At 37.5% G+C, this 27310-nt stretch overlaps 1 protein-coding gene across 21 annotated transcripts in view; it reads right to left on the reverse strand.

Annotated features, from left to right (window-relative positions):
* ERC2 (ELKS/RAB6-interacting/CAST family member 2) overlaps positions 1 to 27310 on the reverse strand; it is a 960157-nt gene that overhangs the window by 641970 nt on the left and 290877 nt on the right. For 17 of the 21 annotated variants that reach the window (NR_132749.2, XM_017006156.2, XM_047447950.1 and 14 more), the window contains exon 4: positions 23166 to 23240. Coding sequence is in view for 20 of the 21 variants with exons in the window: in XM_017006156.2 (XP_016861645.1) it covers positions 23166 to 23240 (75 nt within the window). In the remaining variant the exon portion in view is untranslated. Of the gene's footprint in view, positions 1 to 19848; positions 19891 to 23165; positions 23241 to 27310 lie in introns of all 21 variants that reach the window. The other 4 variants (XM_047447944.1, XM_047447945.1, XM_047447942.1 and 1 more) reach the window with 1 other exon arrangement.

Here is a 27310-nt window from a genome sequence, read left to right on the forward strand (position 1 = left end):
TGTCTGTCCTGATTTTGTGGCTATTGTCTACTTTATTTTCCTATAATCTATGCCCAGTGGTATATCTCCTATGGCAATATAGTAATTATCATTGTTATTATCATTAACATTGTCATCATGTTAAAAGGAGGAAAAGAAGGAGCAGTAAATTTATGCAACTCTATTATGTACCAAGAACTGAGTGCTCTAAGTTCTGTAGATACTTTTATTAATTCTCAGAAAAACTTCAAGAAGATGAAATAAAAAGATTTTGAAAATTCCAAGATTATTAGGAAATGGAACATTCTGTAGTATTTCATTTTCCTTTAAAAATAATACCTATTGTATTTTTTCAGTTATAAAAGCAATATACTTTGAATTCATAGAAAATGGAGAAAACCTCTAATCCTACTGTCTAGAAATAACCACCATTAATGTTTTCATGTATATTCTGCCAGTATTTTTCTATTTAGATGCCATTTCTGGAAATATTGTATACTACCAGTTTAAATTCTGAAAAGTGTTATGGACTGAATGTTGAGTTCCCCAGAAATATATATGTTGAAGCTCTAACCCTCAATGTGATGGTATTTGGAGATGGGGCCTTTGGTGGGTAATTAGGATTAGATGAGGCTAGGAGAGTAGGGCCCTCAGAATGGGATTAGAGCCCTTATAAGAAGAGACACCAGGAAGCTGCTCACTCTCGCTCTCTCTACCAAGAAAGGACATGGGGAGAAGGCAGCTATCTATAAGCCAGGAAGAGAGCCCTCACCAGAACCTTATCATGCTGGCACCCTAATCTCGGCCTTCTAGCCTCCAGAACTGTGAGAAAAACAAATCTCCATTATTGAAGTCACCCAGTCTATAGTACTTTGCTAAGTCAGACAAGCTCACAAACATAGGTTCAAGCAATTTTCATGCCTCAGCCTCCCGAGTAGCTGGGATTACCAGCCTGCGCCACCAAGTACAACTAATTCTTGTATTTTTAGTAGTGACGGGGTTTCACCATGTTGGCCAGGCTACTCTCGAACTCCTGACCTCAAGTGATCCACCCACCTCAGCCTCCCAAAGTGTTGGGATTAAAAGTGTGAACCATTGTGCCCAGCCAATATTTCTGTTCTTATATAACAAGTCAGTTTCAAGGGCAAAAGAGCTCATATCTCACATCATGAGCACAGGGAAAAGTAGGTAGGAGAATATCATTAGGATTCAAAGGAAAACTGACACAAAAAATACAGATATATCAGATGGTTTTGGGTTGTGCCCAAGAAGATATTCAAAACGCCAAACCAGAGAAGGACAGAGGGAATATAAGCATGAAAATAAAAAGCAAGTAAAATGGCTGGCATGTCTACCGCTTTTCAACTGCATCAGTCCAAAGAATTTAGAGGGAAGGAATTTTATCATTTTCTTTTTTAAAAATCGCTAACACTAAGATACATGACTAAAACCTAATCTATGTAAGGAGTACTATGGAAGTCCATATCAAGTCCTGATGTGGCTGAATGTGACATACGGATGTTGAGATGCTAAATGCACATGGCTCAGAAACTCGACGCGCTAATCTGGAATAGAGAAAAAAAATACATATATGAAGACATATGTTGTAACTTCCAGAAAAGTGGAGTTTCAGAAAGTAAAGCAACATTTTACGCCCTAATCGCCAAAGAGCTTTCTTCATCTGAACATTTTTACAAGTTATTTATGACTGATATTTTAAAACAATATATGTAGTGATTTTCAAACACATATCTTGATTATATTTCACAAATAAACAAGCTCTGGAAGCAGATAATCGTGGGCCTTCCTTAGAGACGGGGAAAGTGAAATATAATGTAGAGTAGCTTTTCCCAAAGTTCACAGAACCCAAATGCTCCATGAAAAGGGGATTGCAGGGTCAAGTATGTTTGAGAAATGCTTGTTAGGAATTTTCAATGCGCATTAACATAAATGGCTCTGGAAAGTCCTGAAGCAAAATATTCTATTTAATTTTATTTATCACAGTATTACTGCCTCTAGAAGTCAATTCCTGAAAAAAAATTTAGGCTTGTAATGATCACATTAAGCTCTGGGTAATATTACTAAATTGAAGAGTCAAAACAACAATTTGGATTCTTCAAGGGAAAACTTGCCACAATCATCCCCAATTTAAAATGAAGGGGGGGGGGCGCTAAATATCTAGATCAGCCTGCCAGCTTCTGTCACTCAAAAGTGGTTTACTGAGCTCCTGTTCTAAGCCCAGCACTTAAGACAACATCAGTGAAAGAACAGACATGGACCCCCATACTCCTGGAACTTAGCACCTCACGTCTCAGGCAATAGTTTTCAAACAGTCTCGAGATAGGGCAACCATGAAATTGTTTTGTCTTTATATTATATTTTGGTTATGGATTGTAAAGATGTAGAAAAAAATTTTCAGGGAAAAAATAAACATCTAAACAATGTTTGCTTCAGTTAGGAAAAAAGATCTCAATTGAGTGTCTCTTTTCAATCATTTCTTTCTACACATTCATAAAATAATACTTATAAAAATTTGATGCATAAATTGCAGATCATAGCTTCTAATTAAAGATTCATACCCAAGACTATTTTACATCTACCATCTCAAAAAATGCAAAATAGGTATTTGATGGGCAACTAATAAATAAAACACTGGAATTGAACCCCAGAAGCCATTTACCCACTAGGCCCACCGCACTAATGTCTAAGCCAGCCTTAAATACTAGCACTAGCCCATGACGGCTATAGTTATAGAAATGAGGATGAAAGTGGGATGGGAAGATTGAAATAAGTTTATTTCTTCCTTTTCTCTCTCTTTTTTTAAATCTATCTCTAGATTTCTCTAGAACATGTGTGCTATAGATTAATAGTAAACTTAGACAAGGAGTTCTCTCATTCATTCATTAATTCAACAAATACATAGGGCACCTATTGGGAACCAGTCACTTTGCCAGGTGAGTAAGATACCAGGTAGATCTCAAGAAGATCCATGGGCATCCTTCCCTCTCTAACATGAAGGACAGCCTGGATCCATGCTACTCAAAGTGTGGTCACAGATCAGCGGCACTGACATCACCTGGGAGCTTTTTCCACTTGCAAAATCTCAGGCCCCAACTCAGAACTATTGAATCCAAATCCATATTTTCACAAGATCCTCGGGTGATTCGGGTGTTCTAAATGACTGTACATGTCCAGAAGACACAAGGGCCAAGACTGACCAATGCAGAAGACACTAGGGTAACTCTATTTTCCAAATACATTTAGAAAAACATGAATCTAGTTTCAAGAGCCATCCAACTTAACATTAAGTGTACAGCAACCCTGGGAGTAAATTTTCTGGAGTATCTTTGCTAGTCAGGATGCCATTAGTACTCTTTTTGTGTTTTCAAACAGTATGTTCCCCTTAAACAGCAAGAAACAGATTTCAATCCCTCTCCAGGAACTGTGAATACTGAAATGGTGAGTGGGTGGAACATCAAAAAGAAGCAATATCATTTAGTCACAAAAAGTAACAATTATATTATTGCTGAGTGTCACAATGTGCTTTCCTTTTAAATACCGTGAGAATTACTGGTTTCATTTTAATATCAGGCCAAGAAAGAAGACATAAGCAGTTTTTACAGAGCATTGAATTCACTGTGATCACATATTGGTCTACGGACATTGATCAACAAACTTAGGGCCAATATGGTTTTTAAAAGATGTGATCTAATGTTCAGGAAACATACCTACATAATTATATTACACTTTATTTAGAATAAAATTTGAAACTGTTATTACTGGATACCACAGAGGCTCTTAACAGCTTAACTTTAAAAAATCATCTAGTCATAGCTGCAAACACAACTGAGCAGCCCTGGATCTTAGGCTACCTGAGTAAGGCCCTGCCTTGGGAAGGATTTACTGTGTGGGATGACCGTGGTTATATGAGCCCAAGTTAGACACTCCAGAAAGAAGTTGACTTAGGCCTAAGACATATTAGTAAAAAGAACGAATACCAAAAAAATCAAAAACTCGCCTTCTTGGGCCTTGTCAAACTATAAAAGGTGATGACCTAGATTAGAAAATGACATGAGAATTAGATGGTATCTAATTCTTTATGGCAAAATGTACAAGCACAGAAAAGGTTGGACTAGATCAAATGAAAAGCAACTAGGGTGCTTTGATGTTTCTTTTCCTGGTCTTATTTGCCTGCTTCTGACTCATTCTTCATGAAACCCATGCCCTTGGAACACATCCTTCCTGTCATCCTGTCTCTGTGCATATTACTAAGGACTCATGAGCAGATGTGTCTCTAGTGGTTCTTGCTTGACACTGTGTGATCTTTGAAGTTATGATCTCCATATATTAATTTGTTCTTGTTGTTAATGGACTCAGCTCTAAGAAAAAGAGCTAAATCTAAAGCAATCCAGACAGACCGCACATGAAGATAAAACATCTGACCTTTACAGAGTCACAAACCTGGATGCAAATCCTAGTTCAGGCTTTTACAATAAGACTATGCTCCTGAGTATGTTAAGAAAATTACAAGTGAGGTATAATGCATACAAAGTGCCTATCACAGAGCCTACCCTAAGAGAGTGAAAAGTTGTCATTATTATCATAAGCCAAAAACAATGTAGTAAGTCCCTACTAATTCCCCAGTTGTTACTTACACAATTAGAAGACAGCTTCCATTTTTATTTCATCCTGTTAAACTTTCTGAGCATGTTCCTAACCTTGCTAATCCTATAACCTAAGTTTACTACAAGAATTAAATGAGTGGCTACATGGAAGTTTCCAGAATAACAGCTAAAACACAGTAGTGCTCAATAAATGTTAGCGTCCCTCTTGTTTCCAGCTATCGCACATATCTATTACTTTTTTGGTCTGCCCAGCTTCCTTTCCTTTTGGGAACTGCATCTTCGCAACATCCCCATGGTTTTAATAGAGTTTTAAATTGTGTGGCCCTGCCCAGAGACAGGTACCATGGGTCTTCTGAACACAATGATTGATTCAGGGGTAAACTTTTAACTCTAGGAAGGCCAATCAGAGTTCTTTTAGGGGACTAACATTAATCCAGAAGAGAAAAGATCTCTCTCTTATTTTCTGAGTAAGGAAAATGAAAAAAAAAAAAAAAAGAAAATAACCGCATGACTGGATGTGGCCTTCTTTGATATCATGTATTGAGAACCTATCTGAATGATTGGGCCCTTATAACATCATTTGAACAGCTATATATAGCTACATTTGAACCATCCACTCTCCAGAATACCAAATATGAGAGTAAGTTTTCTGTTACCTATAACAGAAAAAATATAATGCACAAGTGATAGCGTGAAAGGTAATGCCAAAATATGTAATGTTCTATAAGTCTATATATAGAGAAGTCAGGAATGGGTAAGATTGCCATAGCAGAGTCAAGAAATCTCCAGAAGGCACAGGAGCCTAACGTGGGGTTTGGAGATGAATAAAAATAATATTATCACAGAGAAGATGAAATTCTTTCCAGTTAGAAGTAATAATACATACAAAATCAAGAGCACTCAGCATGTGCCCAGGATATAATATTTAATAAATGTAAGTTTAAAGAAAAACAGAATGAATACAGAGCATGTATGTATCAAGGAAGAGTAGAATACAGAATTGTTCAAATAATATAGATCATGTTTAGCTGCTGAGGAGTTGGAAATGAAAGGAAGGTGCTGCAGAATGATAATCAGTCTTCAGAATCAAGCTAGGAATTTGTACTAGGTTCTGAAAGCGAGTCATATACTGGTAAATAAGAAGGCAACAAGATAGTCTTTGGGCAGTTAGTAATAAAACCAGATGCCGAAATGAAATTTGAAAACTGTGGAGACGACAAAACCATCACTTAGTGGTGAAAGAATTCTCAGACATAGTTGAGAATCAAGGATAGAGAAAAGGGTAGAAGAATCACCAAAAGAAAGAGGGGCAAAAATCATGGAAATTATGGAAAAGTCCTAGAAAATGAGTGAATAGTTTTAAGAAGGAAGAGGAGTCAAAGGTTTGAAGAGCCTAAAGACTAAGAAAAAAGTTAAGATGGCATTGGTGACATGAGGGTAGTTTCATCGGAGTTGTGTTGCCATAATTGGAAACTGAACCCCAGTGTTTTAAATCCCATGGAGCCAGGAGTGATTCCCGAGTCACTCAACAACCAGTATGGAACAGACTCAGATCCCCACAAGACGGACACCTCCTGAAGCACTGGAACCAGGTCTGGGAAGTCACTGCAGGGCCAAGGATTAACTCTTTAGTAGCTGAATTTGGGGACCCCTAGGTAAGGGGTGGAGTTGGGTGCAGGGTACTCTGAGGGTTTGGGGTAGCTGTAGAAGTGTTGCAATATTTTAGCAACCAATGTAGCTGTACCTGTGCCTCTCATCTGAGTATTGGCCCTGCAAAGAAAACTGCTTCAGTTAATGTCAAGAGCTTTCTACATCCCTAGTGCATGGAAGGGAGCACTGGCTGATTAAAAATCATTTCCATGTGCCTGTAACACACACTAAAGCAAAGGTTCCCTAATGCCAACCTGAACACTAACTGCATCAAAATCATCTAGAGAGTGAGCAAAAAACTACTGATGACTTAGTTTCACCCAAGGACATTCTCTTTTGGAGGATTGGGGAACACAAAAATCCATATTTATTTGTAAGCTCCTCAGCTTGGGGGTAAGAAAACAAACAACAACAAAAAAACAATAGCTGCTATGTATTGATTACCTACACAAGCACTGTGCTAGGAAATTCTCATTTAATATTCCCCATAATCCTATGAATTAAGGATTTATTTTACCCATTTAACAGGTCAGAAGACTTACAGATGGTAAATAACTTGCCCAAGGTTTCCCCCTGGGTAAACTGGAATCGTTCCCTCAATAGATAGGCCTGCCTTGAATAGAAGACAGGAGGCCACATATTGGGACCTTGCTGTCCACAGGCCAACCTCAGAAGGGACTGGCTTCAGAGAATGTATGCTATTCTGGTTCTTTCTTCCACAGTAATTTTAGCCTCTAAAGATCACCGAGCAAGGTCAAAAGAAAAAAGTAAAGAGGCTGGGGAGAGAGGAAAGGGAGGAAAAAATTTTCAGCAACTGCTTCCAGATGAGTGGGCAGTCCCTCCATGTGTGCAGGGCCATCCCCTCAACAATGGGTTGCATGTCATCTTTCATGTACATCTAAATGGAAAGAGGGTTTGAATTCCAGCTGCCCATCCTGAGAATGCCAGCAATTCAGGGAATACTACTTTGCAACACAGTGAATGCATTTTAGGGAGCCTAAAAAGATGGACATCTGACCACTCCATTTCTCTTCCAGTGTTCTTTAGGAAAAGATTGAGTGAGGAAGCTCTCTCTCCTTGTTAGCCTTCTAGCAAGCTGAACTTGCTCTTCCCGTTCCTTTTAACCCACTTCCTGGTTGGGTTTGGTGTCTCCTCTTAGAATCTCCGAAACATACCACAGATCATTCTACATTCAACCAGTTTGTCTCATGGAAAAAAAAAAAAAAGCAACAGGCAGCAGTGGAATTCAGGCCACCCCAAGTCACCAATGTGGCCTGATGGATGTGGAAACTGGACCATGCCTCAGGGATGAGGCATGTGATGGTTGGTATGCTGTCATTACTGAAACCTGAAAGGGGAAGTTCACATGAGGCCTGTGGTTGACTTCTCAACCCTGCTGGCAGGGGCACACGCCAGTAAGGAAATTGCAATCCCTAAATAAACGGTAGGCTGGGAACCTGAGCACCAGCAAGGGAGAGGGCAGGGACTGCTGGCCTGGGCAGGGCTGGCCAAGATGGAGCAAACAAAGCTAAGATTTAAACTTTGCAAGAATGTCATGTCAATTCAGACTCCCCAGGAGGGCCCCCTGAGAGTCCAAATTGCCAGTCATCAAGCCTCAGACTTGGCAGAATTTTTAAAGTAGGACAGTTAGTCCAATCCCTTCATTTGTCAGATAAGAAGAGTGAGAGCCAGTGGGGACAAGTGACTTGCCAAATGCCCAATAGCCAGAAAGCTAAGTTCCTAGGTCATTTATTATCCCATAGACCTCCTGAGACTTGCTATTTTTTCTCCACTGTTTTCTCCTTTCAAAGACACTTTTAAAGTCTTTTCAACATGCAAACTATGTGTGTATTCAGAGCTAAGACTCTCTCTGCCTAAAATAGGCTTATTTAGTTCCTTCTCTCTGGTGGTCCTTGCTCAAAGGCACAACCTCTTTTTTACAGATAAAACTCAATTTTCAAACTCAAAGGGAAGAGATGGAGAGGCAAAGGATTCCTTGATCCTCTATTATGTGCCAGGATTTTCCCATGCCTTAACTCATTTTAATCCCCACCACAACCCGTACAGGCTAGTATCATGGACCCATTTCCCAGATGGGAAAGCTGAAGCATAGAGAAGCAGTAAGCAGCAAGCAAAATTCTCAATTTCCATAAATAACCTAACCTTCTCCTCTTTGGAACCTTCTCAGTTCAGAAAAACAAAAAAAAAACCAAGAATTTAAAAAATAGGGCATTTTCAAGATTTCTGATTATGGCTTTTCTTTTAACAAACTTGTTTTTTTTCAAAATAATAATTCCTGATCATTTCTATGTTTAGAAAAAAGCACATTATTGAAAACATGAAAATTTAGGGGAGTGATATGGTTTGGATCCGTGTCCCCACCCAAATCTCATGTTCAATTGTAATCCCCAATGTTGGAGGTGGGGCCTGCAAGGAGGTGACTGGATCATGGAGGCAGTTTCTCATGAATGGTTTAGCACCATATGCTGGATGCTGTCCTCACAATAGTGAGTGAATTCTCATGAGATCGAGTCATTTAAAAGTGTGTGGCACCCCCCCACCCCACCTGTTTTGTGCTTTTACTCTGGCCATCTGACTGTGACTCCTCCCTCTTCAACTTCCACCATAATTGTAAGTTTCCTGAGGCCTCCTCAGAAGCCAAGCAAATGCCAGCATCATGCTTCCTCTACAGCCTGCAAAACTGTGAGCCAATTAAACCTTTTTTCTTTATAAATTAGCCAGTCTTTGGTATTTCATTATAGAAATGTGAGAATGGAATAATATGGGAGGAAAGAAGAGGAAAAAAATCCTTTATAATCTCTCTTCCCAGAACAAATGTCAACATTTTAGTACATTTTCCCCGAAGTTGTTATTCTACATTGATAAATATAACCTTTTTACACATTAAGAATACTAAACCTCTAAACTACTATAAACTTTAAAAATACATTTCATAGTTGGTTATTTTGCGCTTTTTATCAACTTTTATTTTAGATTTAGGGAGTATATGTACAGGTTTGTTACTCGGGTATACTGCAAGATGCTGAGGTTTGGGGTATAAATGATCCCATAACCCAGGCATTAAGCATAGTACTCAATAGTTATTCAACCTTTGTCCCCTTGCCTCCTTCCTCCCTAGTAGTCCCCAGTTTCTATTGTTGCCATCTTTATGTCCATGAGTACTTGATGTTTAACTCCCACTTATAAGTGAGAACGTGCAGTATTTGGTTTTCTGTTAATGTGTTAATTCACTTAGGATAATGGCCTCCAGCTGCATCCATGTTGCTGCAAAGGACATGGTTTCATTCTTTTTTATGGCTGTATATAGTATCCCATGGCGTATACATACTAAGCGTTCTTCATCTAGTACACCATTAATGGGCACCTAGGTTGATTGCATGTCTTTGCTATGGTGAATACTGTTGCGATGAACATTTAAGTGTATGTGTCTTTTTGGTAAAACAATTTACATTCCTTTGGGTAATGGGATTGCTGGGTCAAATAGTAGTTATCTTTTAAATTCTTTGAGAAATCTCCAAACTGCTTTCCACAGAGGCTGACCTAATTTGTATTACCACCAACAGTGTATAAGCGTTTCCATTTCTCCACAACCTCACTAGCATCTGTTGTGCTTTGACTTTTTAATAATAGCCATCCTGATTGGTGTAAGATGGCTTCTCACTGTGGTTTTTATTTGCTTCTCTCTGATGATTATGTTTGTTGGACACTTGCATGTCTTCTTTCGAGAAGTGTCTGTTCATGTCTTTTGCCTAATTTTTCATGGAGTTATTTGTTTTTCTGCTTGTTCAATGTTTAAGTTCCTGATAGATTCTGGATATTAGATCTTTGCTGGATGTGCAGTTTGCAAATATTTTCTCCCATTCTGTAGATTGTTTGTTTCCTCTGTTAATAGTTTCTTCAGCTAAGCAGAAGAACTGTAGTTTAATTAGGTCCCACTTGTCAATTTTTGGTTTTGTTGCAATTGATTCTGAGGACTTAGTCATAAATCCTTTCACAAGGCCAATGTCCAGCATGGTGTTTCCTAGATTTTCTTCTGGGATTCTTAGAGTTTGAGGTCTTACATTTAAATATTTAATCCATCTTGAATTAAGCTTTATACATATAGTGAAATGTAAGTGTCTAGTTTCATTCTTCTGCATATGGCTAGCCAGTTATCCCAGCACCATTTATTAAATAGGAAGTTGTTTCCCCATTATTTACCTTTGTCAATTTTTCAAAGATCAGATGGCAATAGATGTGTGTATTTATTTCTGGGTTCTCTATTCTATTCCACTGGTCTATGTGTCTGTTTTTATACCAATACTATGCTGTTTTGTTTATTGTAGCCTTATAGCATAGTTTGACATCGGGTAATATGATGCCTCCAGGCTTGTTCTTTTTGCTTAGGATTGCTTATATGGTTTGGATGTTTGCTCCAAATCTTATGTTGAAATACGATTCCCAATGTTGGAGGTGGGGCCTGGTGGGCGGTAATTGGATCATGGGAATGGATCCTTCATGAATGGTTTAACACCATCCCCTTGCTGCTAAGTGAATTCTTGCTCAGTTAGCTCACATGAGATCTGGTTGTTGAAAAAGAGTCGGGGCCCTCCTCCCAGTTCTTGCTCCAGCTTTTCATGTGATGTACCTGCTCCTGCTTTGCCTTCTGCTGTGACTGTAAGCTTCCTGAGGCCCTCACAAGAAGCTGAGCAGTTGTTGTTGCCATGCTTGTACAGCCTGCCAAACCATGAGCCAATTAAACTTCTTTTCTTTATGGAATACCCAGCCTCAGGTATTACTTTATAGCAATGTGAGGACAGCCTATTACAATTGCTTTGGCTATTCAAGTTCTTTTTTGGTTCCATATGAAGTTTAGAAAAGTTTTTTCTAGTTCTGAGAAAACTGACATTGGTAGTTTGATAGGAATAGCATTGAATCTGCAAATTGCTTTAGGCAGTATGGCCATTTTAATAATGATTTGTCCACTCTATGAGCATGGAATGTTTTTTCCATTTGTTTATGTCATCTGTGATTTCTTTGAGCAGTGTTTTGCAGTTCTTCTCATAGAGATCTTTCACCTCCTTGGTTAGATGTATTCCTAGGTATTTTGTGTGTGTGTGTGGCTATTATAAATGAGACTGCATTCTTGATTTTGCTCTCAGCTTGAACACTATTGGTGTATAGAAATGTTACTGATTTTATTACATTGATTTTGTATCCTGAAACTTTACTGAAGGTTTCAGAAGTCTTTTGGCAGTCGTTAGGGTTTTCTAGGTATAGAATCATACCGTCAGTGAAGAGATATAGCTTGACTTCTTTTCCTGTTTAGTTGCCTTTTATTTCTTTCTCTTGCCTAATTGCTCTGGCTAGCACTTCCAGTACTATGTTGAATACGAGTAATGAGAGTGAGCATCCTTGTCTTGTTTCAGTTCTCAAGGGGAATGTGTCCACTTTTTGCCCATTCAATGTGATGTTGGCCATGGGTTTGTCATAGATGGCTCTTATTATTTTGAGGTATGTTGCTTCAATGCCTAATTTCTTGAGGGTTTTTATCATGAAGGGATGTTGGATTTTATCAAAAGCTTTTTCCACATCTATTGAGATTATCATATGGTTTTTGTTTTTAATTCTGTTTATGTGTTGAACACATTTATTGATTTGCATATATTGAACCAACTTTGCATTCTAAAAATGAAGCCTACTTGATTGTGGTGAGTTAATTGTTTGATGTTGTTGAATTTGGCTTGATAGTATTTTGTTGAGGATTTTTGCATCTACATTCATCAGGGATACTGCCCTGTAGTTTTCTTTTCTTGTGTCTTTGCCAGGTTTTGGTATCAGGGTGATACTGACGTTGTAGAATGAGTTAGGGAGGAGTCCGTGTTCCTTGCCTTTTTGCTATAGTTCCAGTAAAACTAGTACCAGCTCTTCTTTGTATGTTTGAAAGAATTCAACTGTGAACCCATCCAGTTCAAGGCTTTTTTTGGTTGGTAGGTTTTTTGTTACTTATTCAATTTTAGAACTCAATATTCGTCTTTTCCGTGTTTCTAAGTCTTCCTCATTGAATCTTGGGAGAGTGTGTGTTTCCACGAATTTACCCAGTTCCTCTAGATTTTCTAGTTTGTGTGCATTTAAGTGTTCATAATAGTCTCTGAGGATCTTCTGTAATTCTGTGGGATAAGTTGTATTGTCACCTTTGTCATTTCTGATTGAATTTATTTGGATCTTTTTTTCTTTGTTAATCTAGCTAATGGTCTATCAATCTGTCTGTTCAAAGAACCAATTTTTAGTTTCATTGATTCTTTGTATGCATTTTTGGGTCTCAATTGTGTTCAGTTCTGCTCTGTTTTTTTTATTTCTTTTCTCTGCTAGCTTTGGGGTAAGTTTGCTCTTGTTTTTCTAGTTTTTCTAGGTGTGATGTTAGATTGTTAATTTGAGATCCTTCTAACTTTTTGAGATAGGCACTTAGCACTACAAACTTTCCTCTTAACACTGCTTTTGCTCTGTCCCAGAGCTTTTGGTATCTTGTGTCTCTGTTTTCATGTAGTTCAAATAATTTTTATAGTTCTGCCTTAATTTCACTGTTTACTCAAAAGTCATGCAGGAGCAAATTGTTTAATTTCCATGTAATTATGTGCTTTTGAGAGATCTTCTTGGTATTGATTTCTATTTTTATTCCACAGTGATCCAAGAGTATGGTTACTATGATTTCAATTTTTCTGAATTTATTGAGACTCACCTTATGGCCGAGCATGTGGTTGATCTTGGAGTATGTTCCACGTGCAGGTGGGAAGAACATATATTCTGTGGTTGATGAGTGGAATATTCTGTAGATGTCTATTAGGTCCAATTGGTCAAGTGTTGTGTTTAAGTCCAGAATTTCTTTGTTAGTTTTCTGTCTCGATGATCTGTCTAATGCTCACAGTGGGGTTTTGAAGTCTCCCACTATTATTGTGTGTTGCTGTCGAAGTCTTTTCGTAAGTCTTACAAATTCATATTTTTGACTCTGAGTGCTCCAGTGTTGGGTACATACATTTTTAGGTTAGAAAAGTCTTTATCCTTTATCATTATGTAATGCCTTTCTTTGTCCTTTTTAACTGTTGTTGGTTTTAAAAGTCTGTTTTATCCAACATAAGAATAGTGACCCCTGCTCCTTTTTTGTTTGTTTGCTTTTTATTTGCACAGTGGATCTTTCTCCAACTCTACTTGGAGCCTATGTGTGTTGTTACATGTGATGTGGGTCTCTTGAAGACAGCAGACAGATAAATCTTGTCTTTTGATCCAACTTTTCACTCTGTGCCTTTTAAGTGGGGCATTTAGACTATTTACATTCAAGATTAATATTGATATTTGAGGTTTTGATCCTATAATGAAGTTGCTAGCTGGTTGCTTTGTAGTTTTGATTGTGTGGTTCCTTTATAGGGTCTATGGGCTAAGTACTAAGTGTGTTTTTGTGGCAGCAGGTATCATTCTTTTGTATCCATATTTAGAATGCCCTTAAGAATCTCTTGTAAGCCTTAAGTAAGCAAAGTTATTAATCATTTCCTTTATAATATTTTTCTTTATTTTTAATAACAGCTTTCATGAGCTATAATACACACACCATAAAATTCACCCTTTTAAAGAGTATAATTTAGAGGTTTCTGCAACCATCACTGCTATTTAATTCCAGAACATTTTCATCACCCAAAATCCAGTACACATTAGCAGTAACTCTTCTTTCCTCCTTCCCCCTAGCTCCTGGCAATCACTAATCTACTTTCTGTCCCTAATTTGCCTACACTGGACATTTAATTAATAGTATCATATAATATGTGGCCTTTTCTGACTGACTTCTTCCATTTAGCATAATGTTTTCAAGGTTCATCCATGTTGTAGCCTATATCAGTAATTTATTACTTTTTGTTGATGAATAATATTCTACTATGTGGATATGCCATATTTTGTTTCTTCATATATCAGATGATAGACATTTGGGTTGTTTTAGCTTTTGCTATTATAAATAATGGTAGCGTGAACACTTGTGGATAGTGTTTTGTGCGGACATATGTTTGCAATTCTGTTGGGTGTGTACCTACAAGTGAAATTTCTAGGTCATGTGGTAACTCTATGTTTAACATTTTGAGGAACTGCTAACAGTTTTCCAAAGAGGGCTGTACCATTTTATGTTCCCACCATCAACATATGAGAATTCTAATTATTCACATCCTCCCCAACGCTCATTATTGTCTGTCTTTCTTATTTTAGCCATCCTAGTGTGGGAGAAGTTGTATTTAATGCTGGTTTTGATTGGCATTTCCCTAATGACGAATGATGTTCAGTATTTTTTATGTCCTTATTGGCCATTTGTATGTCTTCTTTGGAGAAATGTCTAATTAAATCTTTTGCCCAGTTTTGTAATTCAGTTATCTTTTTATTGATGAATTATTTTTTCTTTATTTTTAAAGAAACGTTTTAATTAAAGTATTAATATAAGAAAGTACACAAATCATAGACTTTCAAAATGATGAATTGTGGTCAAGTGAACACACTTGGGCCAACCAGATCACAAAACAGAACATAATAGAAATAGAATATTACCTGTACTTCAGAAACCTCCTTCCTGGCCCTCCCAACCTTCACTTTTCCCTCCTCTTCTTCAAATTAACTACTATACAGATATCTAATACTATCAATTAGTTTAGCTTGTTTGGAGAACATATATTATATATGTTCTTTTGTGGCTGGCTTCTTCCAACATTATTTTGGGGATAGTATTCATTTACGCTATTGCATATGGCAATAGCTTTTTTTTTATTATTATACTTTAAGTTTTAGGGTACATGTGCACAGTGTACACGTTAGTTACATATGTATACATGTGCCATGCTGGTGTGCTGCACCTATTAACTCGTCATCTAGCATTAGGTATATCTCCTAATGCTATCCCTCCCCCCTCCCCCCTGCATATGGCAATAGCTTGGTCCTTCTCATTGCCATATAGCATTTCATTGTATGAATATTCCACTACTGTTTTATCCACCCTACTGCTGACAGCTGTTTCACTTGTTTAAAGTTTTTAGTTATTCTACATTTAGTTATGTGTTATACCTTTTTATTTAAATTAGGTCTTTTATAGCTATTGTTAGACTTGCTCTTATATATTTGGGGTTTTTTAATACCAGTGTAAGTGATATTGTTTTCTCAATTTCATATCTTAATTGTTTATAACTAGTATGTACAAATAAGATTCATTTTAAAATACTGGCCAGCCATTTGGCTAAATTTATTTACTAATCTAATATTGTATATATGGATTCACTGATATTTTCTACAGACTCGATTATGGTACTTGTGAACAAAAATGTTTTTTTTTTCTTTCTAATTTTTATACCTAGGATGTCCATAGCATTATCGAACAGAAGTGATGGTAACTGGCATTCTTGTCTTATTCCTTATATCATAGAGAAAGCTTTCAACATTTTACCATTGAACATGATATTAGCTATAGCTTTCTTGTAACTATTCTTATTAGATTAAGAAAATCCTCTACTTCTGAGTTTCTGAAAAACATTTTTGGGGGCCATGGATGGATGTTGCATTAATCAAATGCTTTTTCTGTACCTATGAATTATATTCATTTTCTCCTTTATCCTCTTAATATGGTGGATAACATGATTGATAGCCAAATATCAGTCCAACTTTGCATTCCTAAAATAAACACAACTTGGTCATGTCATTTATTTGTCATTGAGTTCAATTCACTAGGATATTTTCTACCATCAGTGTTTACTCAGGAGATTGCTTGTAATTTTCCTTTTTTGTAATATATTTGCTGGGTATGAATATCAAACATATGCTGGCCTCATAAAACAAGATGGGAAATGCTCCCTCTTTTTCTATTCTAGAAGAGTTTCTGTATGATTGATTTCATTTCCTCTTCAAACATTTGGTACAATTCACTCAAAAAAGCCATCTGGGCCTCTAATTGTTTCTGTTTGGTTTGGGTTTTTAGGTTTTTGGTTTGGTGGTAAGATTTTAATTTATAGAATCATTTCCTTTAACATATAAGACTACTCAGATATTCTATTTCTTCTTAAGCAAGTTTTGACAAATTGTGTTTTTAAAAAGAATTTTTTCATTTATCTAAAATTTCAACTTTATTATCACAAAGTTGCTAATAAAATCCTCTCATATTTTAATGTTAATAAGGTTTATAGTGATGCCCCACTTTCATCCCTGATATTGGTTATTTTTGCTGTCTCTACTCTTCTTGCTGATTCTAACCAGGATTTGTCATTTTTGTGAATCTCTTCAAAAAAACAGCATTTAGTTTTGGTGCTCCACTCTAGTATATGTTTACCCTCTATTTATTTAATGTTAGCTTTTATGTTTATTATTTCTTTCTCTCCACCTTCTTTTTCTACTGGTTTAATGCGATCTACCACACCTTTTAAATTTACAATGTCTTCTCTCAATCAAACTGAATGATTTGCTCTGCCAAAGACACTCCTTATCCTTTCTAGACTCGTGGCTCTTATAGTTCCCACTGTTTATAAACCATATTCCCCTTTACCAAAATCATGCCAGTTTTCCAAGGCTTTCTCCAAATGCTACCTTCTCCAAAAAGCATTCTGTCTTCTTCTCTTATTTGATATCCTTTGACTCCTCATAGCTCATTTGCCCTTCTTAAGTCACTTTATAACCTGGTTTATGTACTTCATTCCATTAGCTCCTTAAAGACTTAGAACTCAGTTTTTCCTGAAAGCCTCATCATGGTGCTGTACACAAAATAGTTGCTCAGTAAACACTGGTGTTTATTATGCAACTTCAGGAGTTAGATTCACAAAAACTAACCTGGGTAATAGCAGGAATTATTGACTGGCAACATTTAGTCAAACATGTAGAGTCAAATATATCATAAGAAGAGTTTGGGGGGAAAGGGAAATAATTCTCATCTTCTAAAAAAAAATCTTACTTGCTTCTAAGTGACAACCATATATCATCTAGAACTAACATTTGACTTGACCATCACTTAAAAATCACATTTTGCCCATTATTTAAGGCAAATAGTTAAATGGGATAAAGGGGTTTGTTGTTGCTTTATATTGGGGGGTCCAGTTGGAAAATGAGAAGATAGAGAAATTTCCCAAGAAAAAAAAGTAAGCTAAAGGATAATTCTAATATTGTAAATGCACACTGCACATCAAAACACACAGTCCTTTACAAGTTTGAACAAGTTATCACACCAGGCTGTTAAAAAAAGACTTCAGAGCAAGACTTAAAATGCAGGGGGAGAAACAGGGCATATGTTGGCTGTAATGTACATATTTGGAGCCCTATTTGGAGCCATGATAACACATGCATGTAAAAAGGATGAGTTTTGCCTTTTAGCACAAAATACAGCTCTGCACCTTTCCAAAAATATCACATAAGCCACTCCATCTCTCATGAGCTGCCTCTACCCATTCTAGGATGCAAACCTCAATGCACAATTTCCAAAGTAAATGTTGAAAGAAAAAACGTTTGAACCTTTGGGCTATCTTTAGAAAAGGCAGAAAGAAGGAGTAAAGAGTGCAAGAGCTTTGAGGAGAAACTTATGTTCAAATCTCAGCTGCCAATCTGACTAGCTGCAGGACCATGGGCAGGTTGCTTATCCTCTCTAACCCGTAGCTTTCTCATCTGTGAATTGGGGATAACTCTGCCTATTCACAGGTTTATTGCACATCAAGTGCTGTAGCCCTTATGTGTGGTAGTGATGTTGCTGTCATTGGGTATTACTGGGGGTGCAGGTGACATCGTTGTTGTTAGTGCTGTTATTGTTTTTAATAGCCACAAAAGGAGCAGGGGCATATTCTTAAGGCCTAAAAGCCATCATCATAATTGCTTTACTAGAAAAACTGGGATTGGCACAAATTTCATATGAACACAGCATCCTTGGAGAAGATGAATGAAATAAACCTAGGTAGGCCCTACAGTCAAAGAAGTGGCAGCTACTTCATAGTGTCTCTGACCAGATTCCAGGACTCAGACAAGTTCATAATGGGTATTGGGTTGTGCTGAGTAGTCTAGGTTTGCCTTTGAACTCTCTCCCCTTTCCAGTTATATGAAACTTGGTAAAGTTGCGAAGTAGTAGTTCTTGACTTCACAGTGTTCCAGTACATCCCTTTCATATTCTGTGGAACTAAACAGGCTAAATTTGACCAAATACCAAGATACCTTTTAAGTGAAACTTAACCCAGCTGCAGGTCAGCTCCATGCAGAACAACAGTTATCTGCCTGGGCACAAAGACAAAGTGAAGTCTTATTTTTATAACAAAAAATTAACCTCTGCATTAAAGTTGCACCTGAATGCAAAATCATATACTTTCACCAATAGTACCACTTATACTTCAGCAACTTAGTGGAGCTCAGTCTTGCTTTGCTTACTACTTATTTCCAATTAAAAAAAAAGCCTGGTGGGGACAAATGTCACTCAAGAGGAACAACTCAAGGCACACAAGTGCCCTCGCTGACCGTGGGACTGGAAAGCTAAATACCCACAATCCCCACTTCAATTACCACAGAAATACTGCTTTTAACTTCACATTATGCCTCTGGCTTCTTAATCCACTTTAGTTAACAAGTTCACCAAATCACCAAACTTTTACTAAAACCCTTACTAAAAACCTTTTACTAGTTAACAAGTTCACCAAACTTTTACTAAAACCCTTATGTCACTCATATATGTCTTCTTTGATAAATTCTGCTGAAAACCTGATAGTTTCTGCTATACTAGCAAAATGTTTGTTTTTCCCAAAGAATATCATTTAATGTTTTAAGCAAATGAACTCTAGAAAACTCTATGTATTTTCTTTTCAGCTTCAGCTGCTAAGTTTGGAGTGAAGCTTTATGTGTCATCTCAGTAATTATTATTACTCTAAGGGTTGTGTTTTTACATTTTTTAAAAAACACAACATTCTCCCTGCCCTTCCATTTGTGATAGTTGGAGTTGCTGTAGCCATTTGCTCACAGGCAGGGAGAGGTTGCCTGAAAATAGAGCTCACATGAAGGAAGACAAGATAAGGGATGGAATGAGAGAAAATGGGATCTGCTAATATCTTTTGAGCCTCTGGATCAAGCTGTGCCTGAAGCAATACCCCTGTTTTTTTCCAGTAAATTTTTTTCCAATAAATTTCCTTTTGACTTCAGCCACTTTGAAATAGATTTTCCTTCACTTAAAATTTCTAGCTAACAATGAAAAAGGGGGTTGAGATTATTTGACAAGAACTACCATTACTGTCATTCATTTTCTTAAAAAAAAAAAAAAACAAATGGCTTTATGAATGACCCAAGAAAGTAAAACTTTTGGACATCATGTTTATGTCATGTCAAATTTATAATAAAAATAAGTTACACATTCTTTCAAAGAAATTAGCATTAAAGAAAGAAAAAAGAGAAAACAAGCCTTTCAACTGTCATTCTTATTGACAGTTATCCACAAGAGCAGAAAAGAGGAGCTTAGCAAAGAATCTTTAGACACAAAAGCAAGAGAAAGAGGAGCACTGCAATATCTACAAGAAACTAATTTTCCAAGAAACACACACAGTGTTCTAAGTGCAAACTTGGAACATACCTGCCAGACCAAATCAGGATCAAAATTAAAACTTGAAGCTTCCTGCAAGAAGATAAATCACAAATAACTTTATTCACTTTGCTTCCTTTCATTTTTCATTAGGTAACTTCAGCCCCCAGGCTCAACTGGCTGCAGTGGATGTAATGTCTGCAAAAGAACTGCCCCCAGTTTGATGCAGGCAGATGATATTTCCCAAGGTTCACCCCAGAAAAACATATTTTCACAACTCCAAAGTCCAGAGGGGGTACACAAAAATCTAGAACCAGACTGTGGATCTAAATAGTGCTTGAATTTAGGCAAGATTTCACAGACTTTCACAACAAATGTCTTTTGCGAGTTTATGCAAAGTGTGTATATGGGGACAATGGGGGTTGAAGCTCACCCTTAGTTCCTCTAAAAAGCAAGAAACAAATAGGGATAATCTCTGAGTCCAATTTAGTCTAAGAAATCTCTTCTGTTTTTTTTTTTTTTTTTTTTTTTTTTTTTGAGGTAGTGTCTCACTATGTCACCCAGGCTGGAGTGCAGTGGCGAGATCTTGGCTCACTGCAACCTCCACGCCCAGGGTTCAAGTGATTCTCCTGCCTCTGCCTCCTGAGTAGCTGGGATTACAGCTGCCCGCCACCACACCTGGCTAATTTTTTTTTTTTTTTTTCTGAGACAGAGTCTCGCTCTGTCCTCCAGGCTAGAGTGTGGTGGCACGATCTCGACTCACTGCAAGCTCCGCCTCCTGGGTTCACCCCATTGTCCTGCCTCAGCCTCCCGAGTAGCTGGGACTACAGGCGCGTGCCACCACGCCCAGCTAATTTTTTGTATTTTTTAGTAGAGACGGGGTTTCACCGTGTTAGTCAGGATGGTCTCATCTCCTGACCTCATGATCCGCCTGCCTCGGCCTCCCAAAGGGCTGGGATTACAGGCTTGAGCCAATGCACCTGGCCAAGAAATCTCTTCTTAATTTTAAATTCTATCAAGGCACTAGATGACATTGATGTTTACCCAGGGCTAAAATACAACAGGGTCTCAAGTTCCACTCACTAGGCTTAAGGGTCAGTTCGATTTGGTAGTCAACTCTAAAGCCTGTACAATATGAGCTTCCAATATTCCCACCAATTTCACAGGGGTGTAATGTACAAAATCAGATGAGATCACAGCCTCCAGCCTGAGCTATACACATGGCTGGGATGACCCTCCACCAGCTGCCTCCCTAACTCAATTTAGGTATGTTGAGGATAGATGTTAATGGGACCCAGACTTCTCTGTTGACAAGACAGAAGGCAGTGCTTTTGTAAGTTAATAGGCATCCAAAAAGACAACAGAAAAACTTGAGGATCCGTTTCCGTTTCCTGAAAATTATATTGCTCTTCATTTGTCCTAAAAATACAAATGCCTCATGCCTACAAATTAGCAACACTGGCATCCATGAAAGGAGAACTCTAGGCTCAATTTAGTGATAATAAGTAGAAATGAATTTGCCCTAGAATTCAAGTTTCTCTGCCTTCCCATGTAGATGACCTAAGTGAGTTTTTTATTTATAAATTTTTTTATAATAAAACATAATGCTAAAAACAACAAACTAGGATCAAACAGATTTTTCTACTTTAAAAAGTCACAAAAAAAGGTACCAATTATCTTTGTATGGAGACATTTACCAGGAAACTACCCACCACATTAGAAGAGATGTTTCTCCTGTTTTTTCCAAAGGCCTTGGAAACTCGCTCTTTTTTTTTTTTTTCTTAAATGATAATTTGGAAATAGATTGTATATACATTCTCTTCTCCATTACTATTTGTGCTGACTGGGAAGGTGGGTGTGGAGGTGGATGGAAGGGGGACTGAGTCACCCTTTGCAAAAACAAAAAACAAAAAAAAAAACAAGTCTTTTGTCCTTTTGTCTTTTCATTTTTCCTCTTTTTTTTTTTTTAAAGCCTTAACCAAGTATCAGGTTTGATTCCAATGTGAAGTGAGGATAAACTCTGAATTATGAACCACTGGCCTACCATTCCCCAGTGTAGAATGTTCAGTTTCTTTTCAAAATGTTTAAATTATATAAGTTTAAAACAACTGATGAGCCAGGGTTAATAATTATTGTTTAATCCTATTGGCATTTGGTCCCTTCAAAGATATTTTTCAAACCCATATGCTACACATACATTATGAGTGCCTTGACTCATGTAACCTCATTTGGGGGACACATAGTTTTAAAGCAAATGACCTATATTATTTTCACAAAAATCCACTTGGATTAAGAAATTGTCATTGAATAAGAAAAACAATCCCTACTCAGATTGCACATGCCAAGAATTCAAGAGCTCGTATTAGTTTCTTTTCCCTCAAAATTTGGGAATTTGGGGGCAGATAATTCAAAATCATATGCTGCAAGAAGGATTGAGAAGATGCATTATCCTATCAGCAAGCTTTAGAATTCTCTTGCAGGCCCACGGTGACCAGCAAACTCCCTGAGTTTTACACTTGAGCGTGGAATTTTCAGATTGCAAACATCTTGATTATAAACTTGTTTCTTAATGGAACACATTAAATCAAGAATTATTTATTATTGAGATAAATACTTTACTATTTGCATCCTTCTGGCAAAAACTGTAAATAAAAAGATTTTAAATTTCTAGATACTAGCAAAGAAATGGAGTTTCATTTAGACCAGTTTCTTAATCATGGATCATGGCTTGGTCATGCTCATTTACTTCATGATTCCTTAAACGCCCTAAATTCTCTCAGAAGGATTTTTCTATTCCTTTAAATAGTGTATCTCTATGCCTGCACAGCTAAATAGGATACTTTGCAAGTACTTAGTAAAGTGTTATTACTTCCAAACTTGGTTAGGAGAAAATACTGGGGTCACCAGAAAGTATCATTTTTTGAAAAGTAAATTTTGCTGATAGCATTATTTTAATTATTAACAATACCACTGCATGTAAAATAACTTCCCTTTGCCAACTCTTAATTTCTCAAAGGTGCTTTTTATTGTGATGTGAATAGGAGGAAAAGAATTATTGTAGTTTAAAAATTTTACTTTTAAAACACACATAAAACCTCCCTAGGATTAGACATGCTTTGAAAAGGAACCCAGCTCCTTTCAGCCAATGGATTCTCGAGCCCTTTATTCTTTTGCCCAGAAAAGGCATCCTAATTAAAGGACCAATACATTAAATGTGCCCAGGAAGGTAAAAAAAATCCAGAAGTAAAGCATCCAGCAGGGTGCCTAGAGAAAAACACAAGGTTCATTTCATGTTTATATTAGGCACCACCAAGTTAGAACAAACTCCCAAGGCATAACTGTTTCTGACAAAAGTGCACAGTTCCTACCTTCATTTCGATGACAGTCTGGAGAGCCTTCGTCTTGGCTGGCTCCGGCTGAAGTTGGCTTCTTCGGTGCAATTCCTGGGGAGGAACACGATAGAAATAAGCCTGACGGTTCATCCTTCCGTTACACCACAACCTTTACACAGGTACTACACAGCCTGCTGGGTCCTGGTTCCCCTTGCACAGACATAAACAAGCCACAGGTGTCTCTTCCCCCACACTCTTTAGCATCCCTCCTGCCTGGAGCCTGCGTTCCGGTGAAAAGCTCCTGGCACATGCGCTATTTCTGAAACTTCCATCAATAATTAATGTCAACTGTGACAAAGCCAGCAAGTAATCATAGTCCAAATACTGTTCAACACTGGGGCTGATGCCCAGCCATCAAATCATAATTTACTAAATTACATTACTCTGTGCTCCCAATACAAACACAGCAAGGAAACAGAGGAAAGAAAATGACTAACGTGGTTGCAAATCCGCTGCACGCATGGCATTTTGCTACCGAGGCAGGTTTGAAATGAGCAGTTTAAAACCATTTCAGTACAACTGTGTCACTTTTGAGAGTGATCTGATGAAACCCTGTGAATCTCTTGCTTCCGAATTTACAGTTTCAGTCCTTGTTTAAAATCACATCTGTGGGTGATATATTTATGTATCATGATGCCAAGAAATTAAAATTGGCATTAGTATCAACAGTGTTACAGGGGAGAAAAAAATTGTTAAAGCCAGATGTGGACCCAAAAACCCCTGGAACGATGATGAACATTTCTTTAGGTAAAAAGCAAACAACATAATTACAACTTTTATCTTGAAGGTCACTTTTTATATGCTTCTCCTCAAAAGAACAGTTCTGTTGAGACTTTGAAAAGTTGTCTTAGCAGAAGAGAAGAGATAAGGACAATGTGTGTTCAGATCACACTTGGATTTTCTTAACTATCAACAGTTTTAGGAGAGTGAGCAATGGCAGGAGTAATCAAAAGTGCTCACACATACCCATGCTGGTGATTCAGGTCACCTATGGAATAATTCTATCAGTACTTACTTCTGCTTCCACAAAAATCAATTTAGAGTCAACATGGGGTAGTTCTAGACTTTCAGAACCACTGGATCACAAACATTTACTTTTTTTAAAAAAGGAGTTAAAAAAGAGGATCAATATCATTTCTAGCTTTCTGCAAGTAAAGGCATTTAAAATTAACTCTACCTCCACCATTATCATCTACTATCACTGTCACTTCAAAAAGATAGGACATGGGATCAGGTGTGGTGGCTCACGCCTGTAATACCAACACTTTGGGAGGCCGAGGTGGGTGGATCATGAGGTCAGAAGATTGAGACCATCCTGGCCAACACGGTGAAACCCTGTCTCTACTAAAAATACAAAAATCAGCTGGGCATAGTGGCGTGTGCCTGTAATCCCAGCTACTTGGGAGGCTGAGGCAGGAGAATCCCTTGAACCAGGGAAACAGAGATTGCAGTGAGCCGAGATCACGCCACTGCACCCCAGCCTGGTGATGGAACGAGACTCTGTCTAAAAAAAAAAAAAAAAAGATAGGACATGTTAATGTAAAAGCTGTCAGAACACTCAAGACACACAATAAAAGATAGTCCTATCCAGGATAAGATAAGCAGGCAATCTTTTGCCCACATCCTATTATGCTGTTCTTATTATATTTGCCAGTGGCCCAAGAAATCTTACAGGTGGACCATAGGGCACATGTCCAAGGACCAGTGTGGGGGAGTTAATGCTACAGCTCTGGACCAGGAATCTGAAAAGAATATTTTCTTCTCCAACTCATCACTGGCACAAATCAGCAACCCTGTACAAAGCTCTTTCTCAACCTCCAATTTGAGAACTATACTTCCTAACTATTCAAAATGCTCTCACATCAGTCAGGATATTTTTTCCCCTAACATATCCCTGGGAAGGGATGAAGTCAACCATTACCAAACATTTATGAATACAGAAACAGAAAGAGATCCTGTGTCCCTCTAGAGGCACTGGACTGCAATCATCTGGCAACACTACCATTTTTGGACTCTCTGGAAATGGCAGAGATTTTCTGAAGGAAGGACCCTAAAGGCAGCTGTCCTTTATTGAGCATCTGTGATGTCCCTAGCGCTGCTTGTCTCATTCAAGCCTCAGCACTACCAAATGAAGAAGATGTTATGTGTGGTGAGTACAGTAGGCTGCTGGAAATTAAAAAACCTGCACCCCCATGGCCAATATCAAGTTACCCAAGTGGCATCCCTGAATGCAGAATTGGGAAGGGAGACACAATAGCACCCCCATTGTATGGTATTTTCTACCACACAGACACAATAAATGTAACAACCTCAAGATCTTAGATAATAGTAAAGTGTAATAAGAAATTAGGAAATTATGAGTTTTTAATATAATTTATTTAATTGTGAGTTTGTACATTTAATTTGTAACATTAGTTATTAGAAGAAGTTTCCAATCAATTTGGAGTCAATGTGATGGTTTTTTTCCAGCTTTCATAGGTCACTACAATCCAGTGCCAACACAGCATTGGGTGGATCCCATGAGATTTCAAATTCCACAAAGAAAAAATCTACTTGGTCCTCAACATTACTTCCAAGATTGCTGGAGTTCACTGTACCAATAAAAACTCATGGACAAGAAAACAGAAAGTAAGTCACTTGTCAGAGTTTCTCTTAGTAAGTGTTAGAAGAAATTCATTTCATAGATCACCCATTCTGATACCAGGTGGCATCAAAATCATCTTATTAAAAGCCAGGAATGCAATTCATAATAATTTCATACCATAACCAATCCTAGTTCCAGAATAAAAATTATAACTTGAGGAGAGAGGTTAAGCTTGTATAAAACAAGGAAAAATAATGAAGAAGCAACCAAGCAACACAGTGAAAATAAAAACCATAGGTAAAGGCAGGTGCTGTTGTAATTTCTGCCAAACACGAAAACATTGTCAAGGGTAAACATGCAATAAAAAAGCTAAACTTGTAGCAACAGTTATTCAATAATGGAAACAGAGTTCTCTTTGCTATAATTATACAAATTATATTATAATACAAACCAGCTAAAAATCCTGATTGGGCCCTTACCCTCTGTGTCACTCCTTTAAAAATAAAATAAAATCTCCAATTACCCAAGAATTGTAATTTTCTTAATTACAATATTTTTCAATCCTGACTTCATAGATTCTGAGGCTCATCTTGATTCCTAAGGTGTCAGGTAAATGAAAATTGTAATCTATATCCAGACAACATGGACTGTCTGAAAATCCCATCTCAAACACTTCACCTATCTTTGAGATTTGAGATTATTACAATACTCACTCTGTGGTAGAGGACCAGTTGCCCAAGGAAGGTTTGTGCTCCTCTTCCATACAATAGAGTTGTTGCTAGGAGGCCCCACAACCACTACCTAGGTGGGGCCATGGGACTTATTTCTGTCCAGTGGAATGTGGTTAGAAATGAGCAACGCGATCAACTTTCATAAAAACTTCCTAACTAGTCCTCAACTCTCCCTCTTTTTCTATCTACTAGCTAGAAGTGAAGGACTTCAATATCCAAGAAGATGGTGTAGCCTCAAGATAGAAAAAGCCCACACTTCTGAAACATCATTTGAAAGGCTGCTGAAGACCTACATCACATGGTGATATGAAATAAAAATAAACTTCTATTAAGTTAAGCCTATGAGCTTTCAGGCTTTATCTACAGAGATCTCAGCTCTCTCTGCTTTAAGAACTGCAATGGCTACAAGGCAAATTAATACCTTATTAGTCCTGTATTGTTTGTTGCTTTTGAATCACCAAAGTGATTTTAACGTGTGATTGCTTGCCAAATTTTCTAAACAGACAGTAGGATGAATTGGTTGCTGGAGGCTCCAACTGCCCCTAACCATCTGAGCGATGCACCCATTATGCACTAATCCTAAACAACTAATGAATTTCCCCAGGAGCATTTGATGTCCTCTCATATAGGTATGACTGAGTATAAGATTTAACTTACTGTGATAGTTTTCACATGACAGTGTTATTAAATCATGAAGTGCAATGGTACTTAAATTTTTCTGCGTCACAGATCTCTGTAAAAATCAAACAGGAGGAGTGGATTCTTTCTGGAAATGGACACAAAAGCACATGCAAGCAAAATGGTGT

This window comes from Homo sapiens, chromosome 3 (genome assembly GCF_000001405.40).
Source record: "Homo sapiens chromosome 3, GRCh38.p14 Primary Assembly".
Taxonomy (NCBI): Eukaryota; Metazoa; Chordata; class Mammalia; order Primates; family Hominidae; genus Homo; species Homo sapiens.